The sequence below is a fragment of the Homo sapiens genome, chromosome 17, assembly GCF_000001405.40.
Source record: "Homo sapiens chromosome 17, GRCh38.p14 Primary Assembly".
Lineage (NCBI taxonomy): Eukaryota > Metazoa > Chordata > Mammalia > Primates > Hominidae > Homo > Homo sapiens.
In genome coordinates, this window is record NC_000017.11 from 45,455,183 (window position 1) to 45,473,184 (window position 18,002).

General features: G+C 47.7%; 1 protein-coding gene across 13 annotated transcripts in view; it reads right to left on the reverse strand.

Moving 5' to 3' along the window:
* PLEKHM1 (pleckstrin homology and RUN domain containing M1) overlaps window positions 1–18,002 on the reverse strand; it is a 56,513-nt gene that overhangs the window by 20,974 nt on the left and 17,537 nt on the right. For 12 of the 13 annotated variants that reach the window (NR_027774.2, XM_047437188.1, NM_014798.3 and 9 more), the window contains 2 exons: window positions 13,027–13,411; window positions 2,987–3,257 (listed from right to left, as the gene is read on the reverse strand). Coding sequence is in view for 11 of the 13 variants with exons in the window: in XM_047437188.1 (XP_047293144.1) it covers window positions 2,987–3,257; window positions 13,027–13,411 (656 nt within the window). In the remaining 2 variants the exon portion in view is untranslated. The remainder of the gene's footprint in view (window positions 1–2,986; window positions 3,258–13,026; window positions 13,412–18,002) is intronic. The other variant, NR_027782.2, reaches the window with a different exon arrangement.

The window sequence follows — 18,002 nt, forward strand, 5'->3', positions numbered from 1 at the left end:
AACCTGCTCCAAGTAGGCTTCTCTCCCCCCATTCTACTGACACTGTTTCTGAGATGGTCAATGCCCTCCTCGTTGCCAAACCCCAAGGCCACTCCTCAGCCCTCGCCCCCACCCTTCTATCTCTCTGGCTCGGTCCTCCCTGTGGCCTCTCACGTTAGAGTGCCCAGATGTCAGTCCTGGGTCCTTGTCTCCTCTCTGTAGATGCCACTTTCTCACCACTCTACCTGCTCTCAGGCTTTAGCTCCCAATTTTTATCGCCAGCCTGGACCTTGTTCTTGAAATCCACATTCATATATCCACCTGTGCCATACATGTCCACTAGGATCTCAGCTGACATGTCCAGGATGAATTCCTGCTGCCAGCCTGCTTCCTCCTGAATGGTCCTCATCTCACCAAATAGCAAAATTCATCCTTCCAGATGCCTGGGCTAAAAATCTTGGTGTTACCCCAGGTTTTCTTTCTTTCGCAGCCTACATCAGCAAATCCCATTGGCTCTGCCTTCCACACATCCGGAATCCCCGCCTCTCCCCAGCTGCACCCCACCCACTGTCATCTCTGGCCTGGCTTGTGATGACAACCTCCTAACTGGTCTTTCTCCCCTTCTCCCCTGTAGTCCCTCAGCGTAGGAGCCATGATGACCCATTTAAAGGGAAGTCAGAGCATGTCCCTCTGCCCCAAAACTCCACAGTGGCGGCCATCTCCCTTAGCTGAAGCCAAAGTGCTTCCAGTGGCCCACAGGCCTCGTCAGATTGACCTCATCGCTCACTGCCACGCCCCCATCTCCTCTCTCCTGCCACTCTGGTCTCCACTGTCCCTGGATGTGTCAAGCGCAGCCCCAGCGCAGGGTCTTTGCATTTGTTCTCCTTGCTTGAAACACGTACATTGCCTCATGACTCCTTCCCTCTCTCCCCTTGCATCTCCTCAAACATCCCCTTATTGGTGAGGGCTTTTCTGGCCATCCTATATGCAGTGGTCCACTCTCTACCTCTGTAGACAGGTAGAGATTTACTGTCCTCCATAGCACTTATGACCACCTGACCACACACTATGCTTACTTGTTAATTTTATTTCCCGTCTCCTCTACTAGAATCTAAATCCCATGAAGACAGGGACACTGCTTTGCTGCCTGCTATGTCTCCAGCACTTAGAACAGTGCCTGGCACATCACAGAGCCTCAATAATATTTGCTGAATGAATGAGCAGGTGAGTGCCTATGTATCACATGTTGCCCACAGCTCCCTGCTGCCTGGGGTGTGACAACAACCAGGGTGTCCAAAGGACACACAATTCTCTCTCCGCCAGCCTGGAATAGCCTTGGAGATTTCACACTATTCTATGGGGGTTCCCTGCCCCTCAAGAAACCTGATGGCCTAGACCTGAAGCACAGCTTCGCTGGCAGGTTAGAGACCACAGCCATCACACGGGCCAACAGACAAACCTAACAGAAGCCAGCCCGGAGACCGGGCTCTACCCACACAACCCATGCCAGGGCTACCCACAGCAAGGCCCCCTGAGCTGGGCAGGATTCTCTGCTGGGTCACTGCAGACAGAAAATGAGGAGAGAAAGAGACCAATTCTAGAGCGTACTTTTTTTGTTTGTTTTGAAGAGGAAACCCATCATGAAGGTTACTGAAAAATTTGGTTATGGTTATTTAAGGCTTTCTGGAATTTCAGTGTGTGGAGATCAAGCTGACCTTGCTGTAAAAAGCACTGGGGAGGTCGGGCATAGTGGCTCACACCTGTAATCCCAGCACTTTTGGAGGCCAAGGTGGGTGGATCACATGAGGCCAAGAGTTCAGACCAGTGTGGCCAACATGGCAAAATCCTATGTCCACTGGAAATACAAGAATCACCTGGGTGTGGCAGTGCATGTCTGTAATCCCAGCTCCTGGAGAGACTGAGGCACTTGAGCTGGGAGGCAAAGGCTGCAGTGAGCTGAGATTATACCACTGTACTCCAGCCTGGGTGACAGAGCAAGACTCTGCCTCAGAAAAAAAAAAAAAAAAAAAAAGAAGCACTGGAGGACATTAAACAAATAGCAGATCCTCCAGCCTGGCCAACATAGCAAAACACCATCTTTATTAAAAATGCAAAAATTGGCCAGGCGCAGTGGCTCATGCCTGTAATCCCAGCACTTTAGGAGGCCGAGGCGGGGTGGATCACCGGAGGTCGGGAGTTGGAGACCAGCCTAACCAATTTCGAGAAACCCCGTCTCTACTAATACAAAATGAGCCAGGCATGGTGGCTCATGCCTGTAATCCCAACTACTCGGGTGGCTAAAGCAGAAGAATTGCTTGAACACGGGAGGCGGAGGTTGTGGTGAGCTGAGATCACATGATTGCACTCCAGCCTGGGCAACAAAAGGGAAACTCCACCTCAAAAAAAAAAAAAAATTAGCCAGGTGTGGTGGCAGGTACCTGTAATCCCAGCTATTTGGGAGGCTGAGACAGGAGAATTGCTTGAACCCAGGAGGCTGAGGTTGCAGTGAGCAGAGATCATGCCACTGCACTCCAGCCTGGGCAACAAAGGGAGACTCCATCTCAAAACAAACAAACAAACAAAACAAATAGCAGATTTGATCAAGCCACCCAGAGCTGTTACATAAACCAACTACTGAGGGTAAACACGTTTGGAAGGACCATTTAAAACACCTGGGGCTTCATGGGGCCGGATGTGCTCTGAGCTACAGGTGGAATCAAGAGTTTTCTATAATCATAAATTGCATAGTTTTCAGGGAAAATATTTTCCTATTTGACTGGTGAAACAGTATTTTTGTCCTCTGTAGGCAGTTTTGAGACAATATACTACTTTTCCTGAAATGCTTCCCTGAATGAACATGATTATGATGGCATTCTGGAATGAGGTTTTATAACACTTGTGGGAACACACTACCCCTTTAGCAATGGAAAACAGAACTTCACAGCTGCCTTCTGAAAGGCCTGGTCCCTGCAGATGGGACCCACCCGGGACCCTCCTGGTAACCTACCCATCTGTCTCCGGTGTACCACCCGGAAGCTCTTATGCCCCTGGGATGGGGCTGCCTGGGCTTGCCTTCTTCCTGGGGAAGGTACACACGCTTGGTCTAACGCCCCCAGGGAGCAGTTTTTTCTTGGTTCTTGAGAAAAATGCCTGTGGAGACCAGGCCTTGACCCTGGAGTCCCCCTGTAAGAAGCTATTGGGTGGTCTGAAGCACTCTCCAGGGGTTGCTCCCGGGAAGGCCGGTAGAAGTCATCCTCTGAGATCCAGCTCTTGTTTTTCTGTTGGGAAAGAAGACAACAGTTGTTTGTTTTAAAGTTTTTTTGTTTTGAGACGGAGTCTCGCTCTGTTGCCCAGGCTGGAGTGCAATCGCGCAACCTCGGCTCACTGCAACCTCTGACTCCTGGGTTCAAGCGATTCTCCTGCCCCAGTCTCCTGAGTAGCTGGGATTACAGGCGCCCACCACCATGCCCAGCTAATTTTTGTATTTTTAGTAGAGGCGGGGTTTCACCATGTTGGCCAGGCTGGTCTAGAACTCCTGACTTCAGGTGAGCCACCCACCTCGGCCTCCCAAAGTGTTGGGATTACAGGTGTGAGTCACTGTGCCCAGCCTGAAGTTTTTTTTTTTTTTAAGTCTTTATCTAGATATGGCTCTTATATCATAAAATTAACCCACTTAAAGTATGTAATTCGGCCAGCCATGGTGGCTCACACCTGTAATCCCAGCACTTTGGGAGGCTGAGGTGAGAGGATCACCTGAGCCCAGGAGTTTGAGACCAACCTGGGCAACACAGTGAGAACCCATCTCTACAAAAAATAACTAGCTGGGTGTGATGGCACACACCTGTAGTCTCAGCTACTGAGGAGGCTGAAGCGGGAGAATCGCTTGAGCCAGGGAGGTCAAGGCTGCAGTGAGCCGTGATCACGCCACTGCCCTCCAGCCTGGTTGCAGCCTAGGCAACAGAATGAGACCCCATCTCTAAAAAAATAAATAAATAAAGTGTCCAATTCAAACATTTTGGCTTAGTCAGAGTTGGGCAATCGTCACCACCATCTAAGTTTAGCAAATTTTCCTCACCCAAAAAGGAAACCCCGTACCCATTAGCCGTCATCCCCATTTCCCCTGGCCACTCTCAGCTCTAGGCACCTACTTACCTACTTTCAGTCCCTACACACCTGCCTGTTCTGGACATCTCATATAGATGGAACCATACGACACGTGACCTTTTGTGCCTGCTTCTTTCTCTTAGTGGGAGGTTTTCCAGGTGCATCCATGTTATATAAGCATGTTTAAGTGTTCATTCCTTTTTATTGCCAAATAATATTCCATTGTCTCGATCCACCACATTTGGCTTATCCACTCCTCGGCTGATGGACATTTGGGTTGTTTCTACTTTTTGTCAATTATGAATAGTGCTGCTATGATCACTTATACACAAGTTTTTGTGTAGACATGTTTCATTGTCTTGGGTATATACTTAGGAGTAGACTTGCTGGGTCATGTGTAACTCTATGTTTCCCTTCTTGAGGAACTACCAAGCTGTTTTCCAAAGTGGCCGCACCATTTTATATTCCCACCAGCAATGTACGAGGGTTCCAATTTCTCTCCTTGGGAAATCTATCCAAATCCATTGGAATCTACTGAAATCCATTGTCTGTCTTAAAATGGGGCTGTCTTTTTGTTGCTGAGTTGTGTTGTGGGTTGAATTGTGACCCCCCCACAAAAGGACATGTTGAAACCCTACCCCCCAGTACCTCAGAATGTGACCTTTTTTGGAAATAGAGTCTTTGCAGAAGTAATTAGTTAAGATGAGGTCATGTTGGAGTAGAATGGGCTGTTCATCCAGTATGACTGATGTCCTTATAAGAGGAGGAGAAAAGATACACAAAGAGAGGAGAACACCAAGTGAAGACAGAGATACAGAGGAAGAACTTGTATGACAGTAGAACATGTGTGACAGCAGAGGGGAGACAGGAGTGACATGTCTACAAGCCAAGGAATGCAAACGAGCACCTGCAACGCCACCCAGGAGAAAGGCGGGAACAGATTCTTCCTTAGATTCTCCAGAAGGAGCCTCCAGAACGATCAGAGAATAAATACCAGTTTTGTTTTGTTTTTGAGACAGAACCTCACTCTGTCACCCAGGCTGGAGTGCAATGGTGCAATCTCAGCTCACTGCAACCCCCGCCTCCCAGGTTCAAGCAATTCTGCTGCCTCGGCCTCCCGAGTAGCTGGGGTTACAGATGCTTGCCACCATGCCCGGCTAATTTTTGTATTTCTAGTAGAGACAAAACCTTGTCGGCCAGGCTGGTCTTGAACTCCTGACCTCAGGTGACCCACTTGCCTCAGCCTTCCAAAGTGCTGGGATTACAGGCGTGAGCCACTGTGCCTGGCCTATTTTGTTTTGTTTTGTTTTGAGGCAGGGTCTCGCTCTTTGCCCAGACTGGAGTACAGTGGCGCAATCAGGGCTCATTGCAGCCTTGACTGCCCAGGCTCAAGCAATCCTCCTGCTTTAGCCCCACTGAATAGCTGAGACTACAGGCATGCACCAGCATGCCCAGCAAATTTTTTATATTTTTAGTAGAGATGGGGTTTCACCATGTTGGCCAGGCTGGTCTTGCACTCCTGGACTCAAGTGATCCGCCCACCCTTGCCTCCCAAAGTGCTGAGGTCACAGGCATGAGCCACCTGCCCAGCAATGTCTGTTTTTGTTTTTTGTTTTGTTGTTGTTGTTATTGTTGTTGAGACAGAGTCTTGCTCTGTCGCCCAGGCTGGAGTGCAGTGGCACAATCCTGGCTCACTGCAAGCTCCGCTTCCCGGGTTCACGCCATTCTCCTGCCTCAGCCTCCTGAGTAGCTGGGACTACAGGTGCCTGCCACCACGCCTGGCTAATTTTGTTTTGTATTTTTAGTAGAGACGGTGTTTCACCATGTTAGCCAGGATGGTCTCGATCTCCTGACCTCATGATCCACCCGCCTCGGCCTCCCAAAGTGCTGGGATTGCAGGCATGAGCGACCGCGCCCAGCCAATGTCTGTTGTTTTAAACCACCCTGTGTATGGTACTTTGTTATGGTGGCCCTAGGGACTAATTCAAGTTGTAAGGTGCTTTATATATTCTGAATACGAGACCCTTATCAGATTTACGATTTGCAAATAATTTCTCCCATTCTGTGAGGTGTCTTTTCATTTTCCGGATGGTGTGCCCTCTGGAGCACATAAGTTGTTAGTTTTGATAAAGTCTAGTTTATCTATTTTTGTTGTTGTTTTTGTGCTTCTGGTGTTGCATCTTAAAAAACCATTGCCTAAGTCAGTATCACAGATTTACTTCTGTGTTTTCTGCCAAGAGCTGTATAGTTTTAGCTCTTACATTTAGGTTTCTGGTCCATTTTGAGTTAGTTTTTGTGTAAGGTGTAAGGAAGGGGTGTTATTATTTTGCATGTGGGTATTCAGCTGTCCCAGCATGTAGGGTTTCTCAGTCCTGCTTTTGGGTTTGAGATGAGGGAGTCCTGGCGAGCAGGCCTCAGGGTCCTCATTGGCCGCCTCTGTCTCTGCCGCCCACTTCTGTGCAGGCCCCTGCAACCCCAGGCAGCCAGGCCCTGCCCCTTCCCTTCGTTGTTCTCTTTTGAATCTGAAGCTGCTCACTGGCTGGGGAAGATGGGGTTGCGGGGAGCATCTGGGGTGAGTGGGCTTGTGGGAGTGGATTCTGGTTCCTTTTCTCCAGTATTTCAAGTCCTCCCTGGCATTCTGTGCCTCAACATGGAAGGGCAGAGGCAAGGAAGCTGGCTGGGCCACTCTAAGTGGCTGTGTACACAGAGGAAATGAGTCACACAAGCAGTGGGACCAGCCCCACTGTTTTGTTAAGTGCCACTAACCTCACCCTGACATCGCTATTTCCAGTCCCTGAATCAAGACTGCACTCCCTGCTTTGTAAACAGGGAAGGGTTGGTTTGGACAGTTGGATCCATTCAGATGCTACACGACTCCTCAAGCCAAGGGTGGCAAGTTCTGACTCAGGCAACTTGAGGGGTAGCTCACAGAACTAGGTCCCCAGAGACTCCTCCACGGGGCCTTCAGAATTGGCAGGTGCTTCCCCCCTGCCAGTGACAGATGATGTGTCAGTCAGGGCAGCCACTGGGGACCATCCACAACACTAGATTCTGAGCAAAGCCTGCCTAGGTCATCAAGAACTGGGGGACCCCCCTGAGGAAAATGGGTGGGAGAAACAGCTCCCTGGCAACCATGTGGCTGTCCTGGCAGCCTCACATATACCTGGGAAGTTGTGTGATCTCCAGCGCCTGGTGGGAGAGGGCACTGTCCCTGAAGACTCAGCTCAGGAGACATCCATCGCCTCTGCCTGGAAGCTTCTCTCACCCTTCCCCAGCCTCCACCCCTTCCCACCCCCTAGCTGGGTTAGGGCCCCTACTGGGATCCCACAATATTCTGTGCTTACCCTCATTCTAGCATTTATAAGGCTGTTTGGAATGGTTTTCTTGATATCTCCAGCAAGTGCCTGCCCGAGTCATACAAGATGAGGGAATAAATCATGACCATCACAATGTCTTTAACATAAAATAACAAAGGTGGGTCAAGTGGACTGGAAGGAAGGAGACAAATGTAAATTTTAAGATTATGGACATTCAGAATGGGCATGATGGATCATGCCTGTAATCCCAGCACTTTGGGAGGCCGAGGCAGGAAAATTGCTTGAGGCCAGAAGTTTGAGACCAGCCTGGCCAACATGGAGAAACCCCATCTCTACTAAAAGTACAAAAATTAGCTGGGCATGGTGGTGCATGCCTGTAATCTCAGCTACTCGGGAGGCTGAGGCACAAGAATTGCTTGAGCCTTGGAGGCAGAGGTTGCAGTGAGCCGAGATGGATGGAGCTATTGCACTCCCACCTGGGCAACAGCACAAGAGTCTGTGTCAAAAAAAAAAAAAAAAAAGTATATGGACATTCACTGGGGAGGACTTCTCTCTCCTTTGAGGAAAAAGACTACTAGGAAATGTTCAGACACAGTCCATTGAGCACAGCTGCCAGGAAATGAAACTAGGGAACATCTTTTACTCTCTTAAGCAACAGGGAAAAAACAGTGGAAATGCAGGTTCCTCGGAGCTTCTGCACATGGGCCTGGACAGAGCTCTGAGGCTGTGTGCCCCTGGCCCCAGGCAGGTGGGGAGCAGAGAGAGGGTGTGAGAGAGAGTGCATGCATGAACACCACTGTTTCTCTCTTCTCTCCTTTTTTTCTTTTAGAGATGGAGTCTTACTCTGTTGCCCAGGCTGGATCACAGTGGTGTGATCTCGGCTCACTGCAACATTTGCCTCCCAGTTTCAAGTGATTCTCCTACCTCAGCCTCCTGAGTAGCTGGGATAACAGGCTCACGCCATCATGCCCGGCTAATTTTTGTATTTTTAGTACAGACGGGGTTTCACCATATTGGTCAGGCTGGTCTCAAACTCCCGACTTCAGGTGATCCACCTGCCTCAGCCTCCCAAAGTGCTGGGATTACAGGCGTGAGCCACTGCACCCGGCCCCCTTCTCTCCTTTTTTCCCACCACCTTCCGACAACCTGCTCACTCAGGGTCCATGTCTGGCCAGCACCCCGCCCTTTAACAGTGGAGAGAAACCATCATCGACGAAGGATCTATACCAGAGCTGCAACTGCCACCAGCGACCCAAGACAGAGAAATGCCACCTTGCGTTACTAAAGGGCTCATGACACCATATACAACAGCTGAATCCCCAAGAGGAGTGTGGCTGAGGAGTGAGACGAAGGTCTCTGGGACACTTTCAGAAGGATGAGACTTTGTCCAGCCAGTCCTCATTATGCCAGGCAAAGGAACTGCCTGTACTCATAACTGTGGAAGGGGAACCACATACCATGGGCAGGTGGTCCATGGGGGCAGTGATTAAGAGCAAGTCCTAGAACTCACACTGCCTTTTGGGAGTTAAACTGAAACGAACTCACAACCCCCAGATCCCAGACATGCATCACCCTTGAGAGGCCCCTACTCCCTGCACCTCTCCTTCCCAGTGCTTAGCACAAGTGTAATTATGATGTGGATAATCATTTGTCTAATTTAATGTCTGTCCCCAAAGGGCCTTTGTCTGTCCTGTTGTATCACTCTACCCCTAGGACCTAACATGGTGCTTGGCTTATAGTAGGTGCTTTGGGTTCAATGAATTAAAAATAAATGTTTTTAAAAGAAAGACTGAATGGGTCTCTACACTATAAAACTTGACAGCGACCCCAACATCTCCCCCAAAATAACATCAAATAAAAAGCACGTGGCTAACTGATAGAAGTACAGAAAGATGAGGACCACAGGGGCAGACATGCAGGGCACAGCCTGGCACTGTCCACAGGCCAGGAGCCCAGCAGGCCCACATGAGCTGGCAGGCTATTCAGTGGCACCTGGTGACTACCTACTGAATAAGCAGTGAATGAATCCACAACTTCCCTGTGAGACAGACACAGGACGGGGGCAGGATCCGAGATTCTCACATCGGATTCAGCACCAAGCGCTTAGATGTCACATTCCCTAAGCAACCTTCCAGCAATCAGAGTCCCCTGTAGCTGGCACAGAGGCAGAGCCTGCCATGATCACACCAACCTGACCACCCTGTCCACTCGATGGTACACTTCGATGACCCACTTTGGCCTCCCAAATTGCTAGGATTAGAGGCGTGAGCTATCACGCCTCGCCTGAACGTCCATAATCTTAAGTTTCACATTTGTCTCCTTCCTTCCAGTCCCCTTGACTTATCTTTGTTACTTTATATTAAAGACATTGGGATGGTCATGATTTATTCACACATCTTGTATGATTCTGGGCCAGGTACTTGCTGGAGATACCAAGAAAAAGAACCATTCCAAACAGCCTTATAGCTAGGATGGGGGAACAAAATAAACTTAGGAATTGGCATCTCAAGAGTCTCTTGGGAGTTCAAGAACTATTCATCCATGCCTACTTTCTCCCAGGTACAGTGCTTGGTGCTGACAATACAGAAGTGAACAGGCCTGGTGCTCTGTATCATAGAGCTAATATTCTAGTAAGGAAGACAGAAAATAAACAAGGAGACAAAGAGATAATATACTGTAATTGCACATAGTGATGAGTGTTATAAGCAAAGTCAAGCAGATGAATGGGACAGAGAGTCACTGGGGATGGTGCTTTTGAGCTACGGGGGTCCGGTCAGGGAAGGCTGAGACAACAATGAAGTGAGTCGGGAAAGAAGGAACAGCAAATGTAAAACCCTGAGGCTGGGCCGGGCACGGTGGCTCATGCCTGTAATCCCAGCACTTTGGGAGGCCAAAGTGGGCAGATCACTTGAGGCCAGGAGTTTGAGACCAGCCTGGTCAACATGGTGAAACCCCATAATTTTGTAAAAATACAAAAATTAGCTGGGCATGGTGGTAGGCATCTGTAATCCCAGCTACTTGGGAGGCTGAGGCATGAGAATCAGTTGAACTTAGGAGGCGGAGGTTTCAGTGAGCTGAGATTGCACCACTGTACTTCAGCCTGGGTGACAGAGTGAGACTCTGCCTCAAAAAAATTTTTTTTTTTAAAAGAAGCCTGATGTTGGAAGGAGTTCGCTTGGACTATAGAGCTGCAAGGAGGCCGGTGGGTCAGAGCTTAGTGAGCAAAGATGCTATTCTGTCCCACCAGCTTTGAGGCCCTGGCAAGATAAGATGCCTGAGCCTGCAAAGCAGAAGCTAGACCATGGGCAGGAGTGAACTCAACATGCTTAGTGCCACTCTGGAGTCCTGTGGGGCGCACAGCCTGCATCCCCAGCAGACGTCACTCTGCCTCCAGCTTGAGGAAGGGGCTGCAGAGCTTTCCTCTTCAGCCTTCAGCTTGAGTTGGCAGGTGCACAGTCACAACCTTCAGGGTCCTAGAGCATTCATTTTCAGGAAGCAAATCTTCAGGATGTACTGAAGCATCTTCAGGATAGCAAATTCGAAGACTCTGACCCACACTGACAGTTTTGTGATTTACATGGTCATATTCAAGAAACAGTGAGGCCAATCAGATATCCATATGGAAAAATATGAGGTTTGACTTCTAACACCACACACAAAAATTAATCCCAGAAAGATCATAAACCTAATTTTGAAAGATAAATCACTAAAGCTTCTAGAAGATAATATAGGCAAATACCTTCAGATCCTTGGGGGAGATGAATATCTCTTAAATGGGACAAAAACCAAGCAAACCATAAACAAAAAGACTGATAAACTGCACATCATTAAAAGAACCTCTGTTCAATAAAAATACTATTAGGAGGTTTAAAAGTCAAGCCTTATAGACTAGAAAAAGATACTTGATAAATATACTATTTTTGTCCAATAAAAGACTTATATCTGTAATATATAAAGAGTTCCTACAAATCAACACATACACATACAACTCAATTTAAGACCGGAATGACAACTTGGACAGACATTCTATAAAAGAGGATTGACTGGCCAATAAGCAAATGAAAAGGTATCATCATTTAGTCATCAAGGATATGAAAATTAAAACCACTACACATCTACCAGAGTGGCTAAAATTAAAAAGATTGGTAACACCATTGGCCAGGATAAAGAGCAACTAGAATGCTCATTTGTTGCCAATATGAGTATAAATTAGCACAAACACTTTAGAAAACTGTTTGGTGGTGGTATCTATTAAAGGTAAACATAAGCCACCCAAGGACCTAGCAATTCCATTCCCAGGTATATATACCCACAGAAATAAGCACCGAGGTTCTCCAAAAGCATGTATGAGAATGTTCACTACAGCTTTCTTCATAATAGTCAAAACCTGGAAACAACCCAAATGTCCATTAACAGGAGAATGGGTAATAGGTTGCAATATATTTTTACAATGGAATACTGCAGAACAATGGAAAAGAATTAACTACAGCCTCATGCTATATGTACAGCCACACACCACCATGCCCAGCTAATTTTTGTATTTTTTGTACAGATGGGGTCTCACTTTGTTACCCAGGTTGGTCTCCAACTCCTGGGCTCAAGCAGTCCTCCCTCTTGGTCTCCCAAAGCGCTGGGGTTACAGGTGTGAGCCACCACACCCAGCCCCCAAATATTTTCATTTTAACTTGTAATCCATAAAAATGAGATTTTCTATTCTTTTATCATACTAAGTTATTGAAATCCAGCGCTTATTTCACATGGCACATCTCCATTTGGACTTGCCACATTTTAAGTGTTCAACAGCCACACGTGGCTTGTAGCTGCCATATTGGACAGCACGGCTCTAAAACCTGGGTCATGTTGCAAAGTGAGTATGCTCAAGGCCTAGTATTTTCTAAAAACATTAATTTAATAGGCTGAGTGCACCAGCTCATGCCTGTAATCCCAGCACTTCAGGAGGCCCAGGCAAGAAGATCGAGACCAGCCTGGCCAACATGATGAAACCCCATCTCTACTAAAAACACAAAACTTAGCCAGACATGGAGGTGGGCACCTGTAATCCCAGCTACTCAGGAGGCTGAGGCAGGAGAATTGCTTGAACCCAGGAGGCGAAGGTGGCAGTGAGCAGAGATTGTGCCACTGCACTCCAGCCTGGGCAACAGAGCAAGACTCCATCTGAAAAAAATACCAAAAACCAAAAATCAAAAAATATTAATTTAATAATAACAAGTACTAAGGAGGAAATGAAGGTTCAGAGAGCTGAAGTGACTTGCCCAAGGCCTTATGCTGGTGAGTGGTAGTGGTTAAAGAGCTGAGACTGCGGTCAGACAAGAACAACCTTCACAAAGTGACGTGAAAATGACAGGAGATACACACGGGAAGTGATCAGCACAGTGCCGGGCTTATATCTACAGCTCACATGCCAAGAAACAGCCGGGCTTATATCTACAGCTCACATGCCAAGAAACATGAGCCCCATCATCATGATGCTATTAACACTATCACTATGCAGGGAGAGGAAGGCTAACAGGGAAAAGGCAGAGACCACTCAGGGTCACTAGCTGGGGAAACCCTGTGTCAGCTGACATTTCCCAAGACTGCCCCCTGAACGGCTTGCACCACTCACCGGACTGGTGGGTGAGGAAACTACCAGCTTCAGACCAGCTCCGTCATGAGCCTGGGCCTTCTGCAGGCCATTCCCTTGGCCCACTTCTCTGGCTGTCTCGCTGACAGTACTAGAAGGCTGCTGGCCTGAGGTGCTCTCTACAGGCTGCTGTAAGTCCAGGGGGCTGGGCGCCTGGGGACGCGGCTCCTGCACGTGGACACCATCTTGAGTTCCAGAGGCTGCCTGGGCAGGAAGGGGCTCTGCAGGTGCCTCACAGTGCAGGTATGTGCTGGTGTTGAGGCCATGGAGGGAGAGCGAGGCCTGTGGTGTGGGGATCTCTGTTTCTTGGCTCAGTCCGTTGGTTGGCACAGAGTTTACCTGGGCTTTGCTGAATTCCAACAATACCCTAGAAGTTTTAAACAAAGAAACCTGTGTGACAGGTTGTCTGCGATAATGCCCAAGGCAACTGGGGCAGAGGGAAGAATGCAAAACTGCTGTTTTATGATTTAAAACAACCCACACCCTCTAAATGATCCACTGCACTCCCCCTCACGCAGTCCTCCTCTGACACTCCCACCACGTTTTTCCTGGCCAGGATTTAGGCAGACTGCGTGGACAGGTGATTTGTGGAGCCTGGGATCTCAGGCGAAAAAGCTCCCCAGCAGAGGAAGAGGACTTGGTATGAATGAGGACTTACTGGCATTCTGAGCAGGCTAGCTGTGGGCCTGGAGAGCTTGCTCAGCCAAACACATGGTTGTGTGGGCAATCGTTTCCCCAAACATGGTATGCAGCAGAGCCTCCTCCTCCACAGCACAGGGAGTAGAGATGCCAGGACTCTGCCCTGGGGCAGGGACTAGGAGAAGCGAGGGCTAGGCAGGTTTCCTAAGCAAGGTCATACTTTGTTCCTGTGCAGGCACTGGGACAGCAAGGGGAGGTGCAAGGGCTGGTCCCCTCAGAGCTGGACTGGATGTGGAGACAGAGAAGCTTCACATCCCCAGAAACTGCTGCTGGAGCTCAATGTATACCAGGTGTGTGAGGGTGGATATGAGTACACACGAGATGTGCCCCTGCTCACTCTCTATGGTGGGACTGCCACTCCCTGTCTCCTCCGTGCTGCTTCCTGGGGCCACAGGGAGCAAATGTTACTGCCTTGGTACACGTGCATGCACACCACACTCACACATACACACTGCACAGAAACATGCCCTGGGCCCTCTGGAATGTGCACTGACTAGCAACTGCTCCTCCCTCTCCTGAGGCTTCTTCTGAGGATCCAAGCTCCATTTTGAAAATAAACCCGTTTGCTATCTCTTCTGCTTATAAAACCAGTGGAGCATGTCATGGGCAAAGCCTGGTTCAGGTGGCCACAGGCTGTCTAAGGCCCCAAAGCCTCCCTGCATCTGCCCTGATGGCTTGGACTGGGTCCAGAAGATACATGAAGCTCTGCTTAATTTGGGCTTAGGGAAATGAGGATTTTAGAATTCAAGTTGCTTACCTGATTGTCTTTCCAGTGAGCTCTGCACCATCTTAACCCCAAACAACATTTCAAGACATTATGGTCAAGAATAGGTGGCCAATCCATACATGTATAAGTAACTGATTTTGGCCGGGTGTGGTGGCTCACATCTGCAATCCCAGCACTTTGGGAGGCTGAGGTGGGTAGAACCACAAGATCAGGAGTTCAAGACTAGCATGGCCAAGATGGTAAAACCCCGTCTCTACTAAAAATACAAAAATTAGCCAGGCTTGGTGGCAGGCGCCTGTAATCCCAGCTACTCAGGAGGCTGAGGCAGAGAATTGCTTGAACCCGGAAGGTGGAGGTTGCAGTGAGCCGAGATTGTGCCACTGCAATCCAGCCTGGGTGAAAGAGCGAGACTCCATCTCAAAAAAAAAAAGAGTAACTGATTTTCAACATAGACACCAACACATTTTAATGGGGAGGGAATAGTCTTTTCAACAATTGTGCTGAGATAAGTGGATAATCACATGCAAAAGAAAAAAGCTGGACTGCTATCTCACATTGTATACAAAAATTAACTCAAAGTGGATTAAAGACCTAAAGGTAAGAGCTAAAACTGTAAAACTCTTAGAAGGAAAGAGAGGTATAAACTTCATGTCTTTGGATTAGGCAATGGTTTCTTAGATGTGAGATCTACAGCATAAGAAAGCAATAAAAAATAAATTGTAATCCCAGCACTTTGGAGGCCAAGGCGGGTGGATCACCTGAGGCCAGGAGTTCGAGATCAGCCTGGCCAACATAGTGAAACCCTGTTTCTAATAAAAATACAAAAATTAGTTGGGCGTGGTGGTGCGCACCTGTAATCCCAGCTACTTGGGGGGCTAAGGCAGGAGAATCACTTGAACCCGGGACGGGGAGGCTGCAGTGAGCCGAGATCACACCACTGCACTCCAGCCTGGGCAACAAAGTGAAACTCTGTTTCAAAAAACAAAAATAAAAAACGTTTGTGTGGTTTTTTTTTTTTTTATTTGAGACTGAGTCTCACTCTGTCGCCCAGGCTGGAGTGCAGTGGCGCCATCTCGGCTCACTGCAAGCTCCGCCTCCCGGGTTCATGCCATTCTCCTGCCTCAGACTCCCGATTAGCTAGGACTACAGACGCCCGCCACAACGCCCAGCTAATTTTTTGTATTGTTTTTTTTTTAGTAGAGATGGAGTTTCACCGTTTTAACCAGGATGGTCTCGATCTCCTGACCTCGTGATCCGCCTGCTTTGGCCTCACAAAGTGATGGGATTACAGGAGTGAGCCACTGTGCCTGGCCAAAACGTTTGTGTTTTAAAGGATACTATCAAGACAGTAAAAAGACAATTCAAAGAATGGGGGGAAATATTTTTAAATTATACAGAAGGGCCTATTATCCAGAATATATACAGAACACTTACAAATCAACAATAAAAAGACAAATAACTAAATGTTTAAATGGGCAAACGATCTGAACAGACATTTCTCCAAAGAAGATATCCAAATGTTTGATAAGCACATGAAAAGACACTCAACAGCATCAGTCATCAGAGAAATGCAAATCAAAACTACAATGAAATACCACTTTATACCCACTGGGTTGATTGTAATAAAAAAGACAGAAAATAATAAGGGTGGGAAAAGATGTAGAGAAATTAAAGCTTGTATATATTAGTGGGTGGGGGATGTAAAATGATGCAACTACTGCAGAAAACAATTTGGTAGTTCCTCAAGAAGTTAAACATAGAGTTACATATGACCCAGCAATTCCACCCCTAGGTATGTAACTAAGAGAATTAAAAACATGTCTACCCAGGCTGGGCATGGTGGCTCATGCCTGTAATCCCAGCACTTTGAGAGGCTGAGCCAGGCGGATCACCTGAGGTCAGGAGTTCACCTGGCCAACATAGTGAAACCCTTTCTCTACAACAAGTACAAAAATTAGCTGGGTGTGGTGGCAGGCCCCTATAATCCCAGCTACTCGGGAGGCTGAGGCAGGAGAATCGCATGAACCCAGGAGGCGGAGGTTGCAGTGAGCCGAGATCATGCCACTGCACTCCAGCCTGGGGGACAGAGCGAGACTCCGTTTCAAAAAATAAATAAAATATTGAATAAAATAAAATACAACAATACCATCAATTGAGCACTATTGATGCCTCTGTGCCAGGGACCATTCTAAGTACTTAAATCTAAGTACTTAAACCCTCCAGACTATACCTATGCCACTCAGTGATGATTATAATACAGATCCAATCTACACGGAAGAAGCTATTTAGGACAGTCAATTCACTAGGCCAACTGCAATTTGGTTTCTGCCAAACAGAACCGCTTTATATTAATAAATTTCATTTTGAATGTTGTGTCTTTTATGCTTTTCTTTATGTTTGATTTGTGGATGTTTTGATTTTATATGTGTAATGATAAGCACAAGGAATTTATGTCTAATTTAAAGTTACAAATATTTAAATAATGTAACAACTTTGATGAACTCTAAATGTCGGTGAGAACATTTTACCCTTGAAATATACACTTCAAGAAATGCTGGTCTCTGTGGATGCTCAAGGACTAACTTCAAGGCCCAGCTCTATGAATGCTGGTGCTGGCTGTGTGTTTGTGCATCTGTATGTCTTACATTTGCCAGTTACTCACACCACTGTCCGGCATTTGTCTATACATCCTGACCCTTGACCCTCCAGTTTCCCCATAATAGCCGGGACAACACTTCCTGCACAGAGAGGATGGTCACTGATTCAGTGACCTTAAGCTGGAATTTTCCATCACAAGACACATGAGATAAAGGCGAGACATATGACAAGGGATGGCTGGCTGGTCTGCAGAGGAGGCAGACACACAGGAAGGGCTAAGACAGGTGAGTGAACCTAGGTCATGCCCTGTGCCTGGGTCACACTGCAGGCCTGTCATGCCATGGTCCCAGTGGTCACAGGAGGCAGACACTGTTCCTCCCCAATGTATTCTATCTAAATTCCTCCATTTAACATTTGAAAACTCCACCTAATATGCTCAGAAGCCATTTCTGGGACTACGAGACAATCTCCTATATTGTTTGACTAACAAACAATGTGCCTGACCTTCCTGGGCTTGTAAGTGGTGGAACAGGACTCGAAACTAGGTCGGCTCCAAGCCCAGTCCGTAACACCACCCAACGCTGGTGCTCTTTCCATGGTGGGTGAGAACCCTGGAGGGACCTGAACCAAGGCGAGGGCACAGGGCGAGTGGAAAGAAGGTCCCAAACACGTGGGACCTTCTTTTCCGCTGATGCAGCATGGATCCAGCTGAAGGAGGCTTTTAATAAGAAGTTCCCATTTTCCACCTATCAGATGAGCAAATATCCAAAAGTTCACTAATACCATCAGTTGGCAAGGCTAAGAAACAAGGACATTCCTGGTGGAGTGTAAATGGGCAATAATCTGTGAACATTCCATATTAGTCTATCCTTTTGCTCGGCAATTTTGCTTCTGGGAGTTTATGGAACAGAGATAGCTACGCAGAACTAAAAGA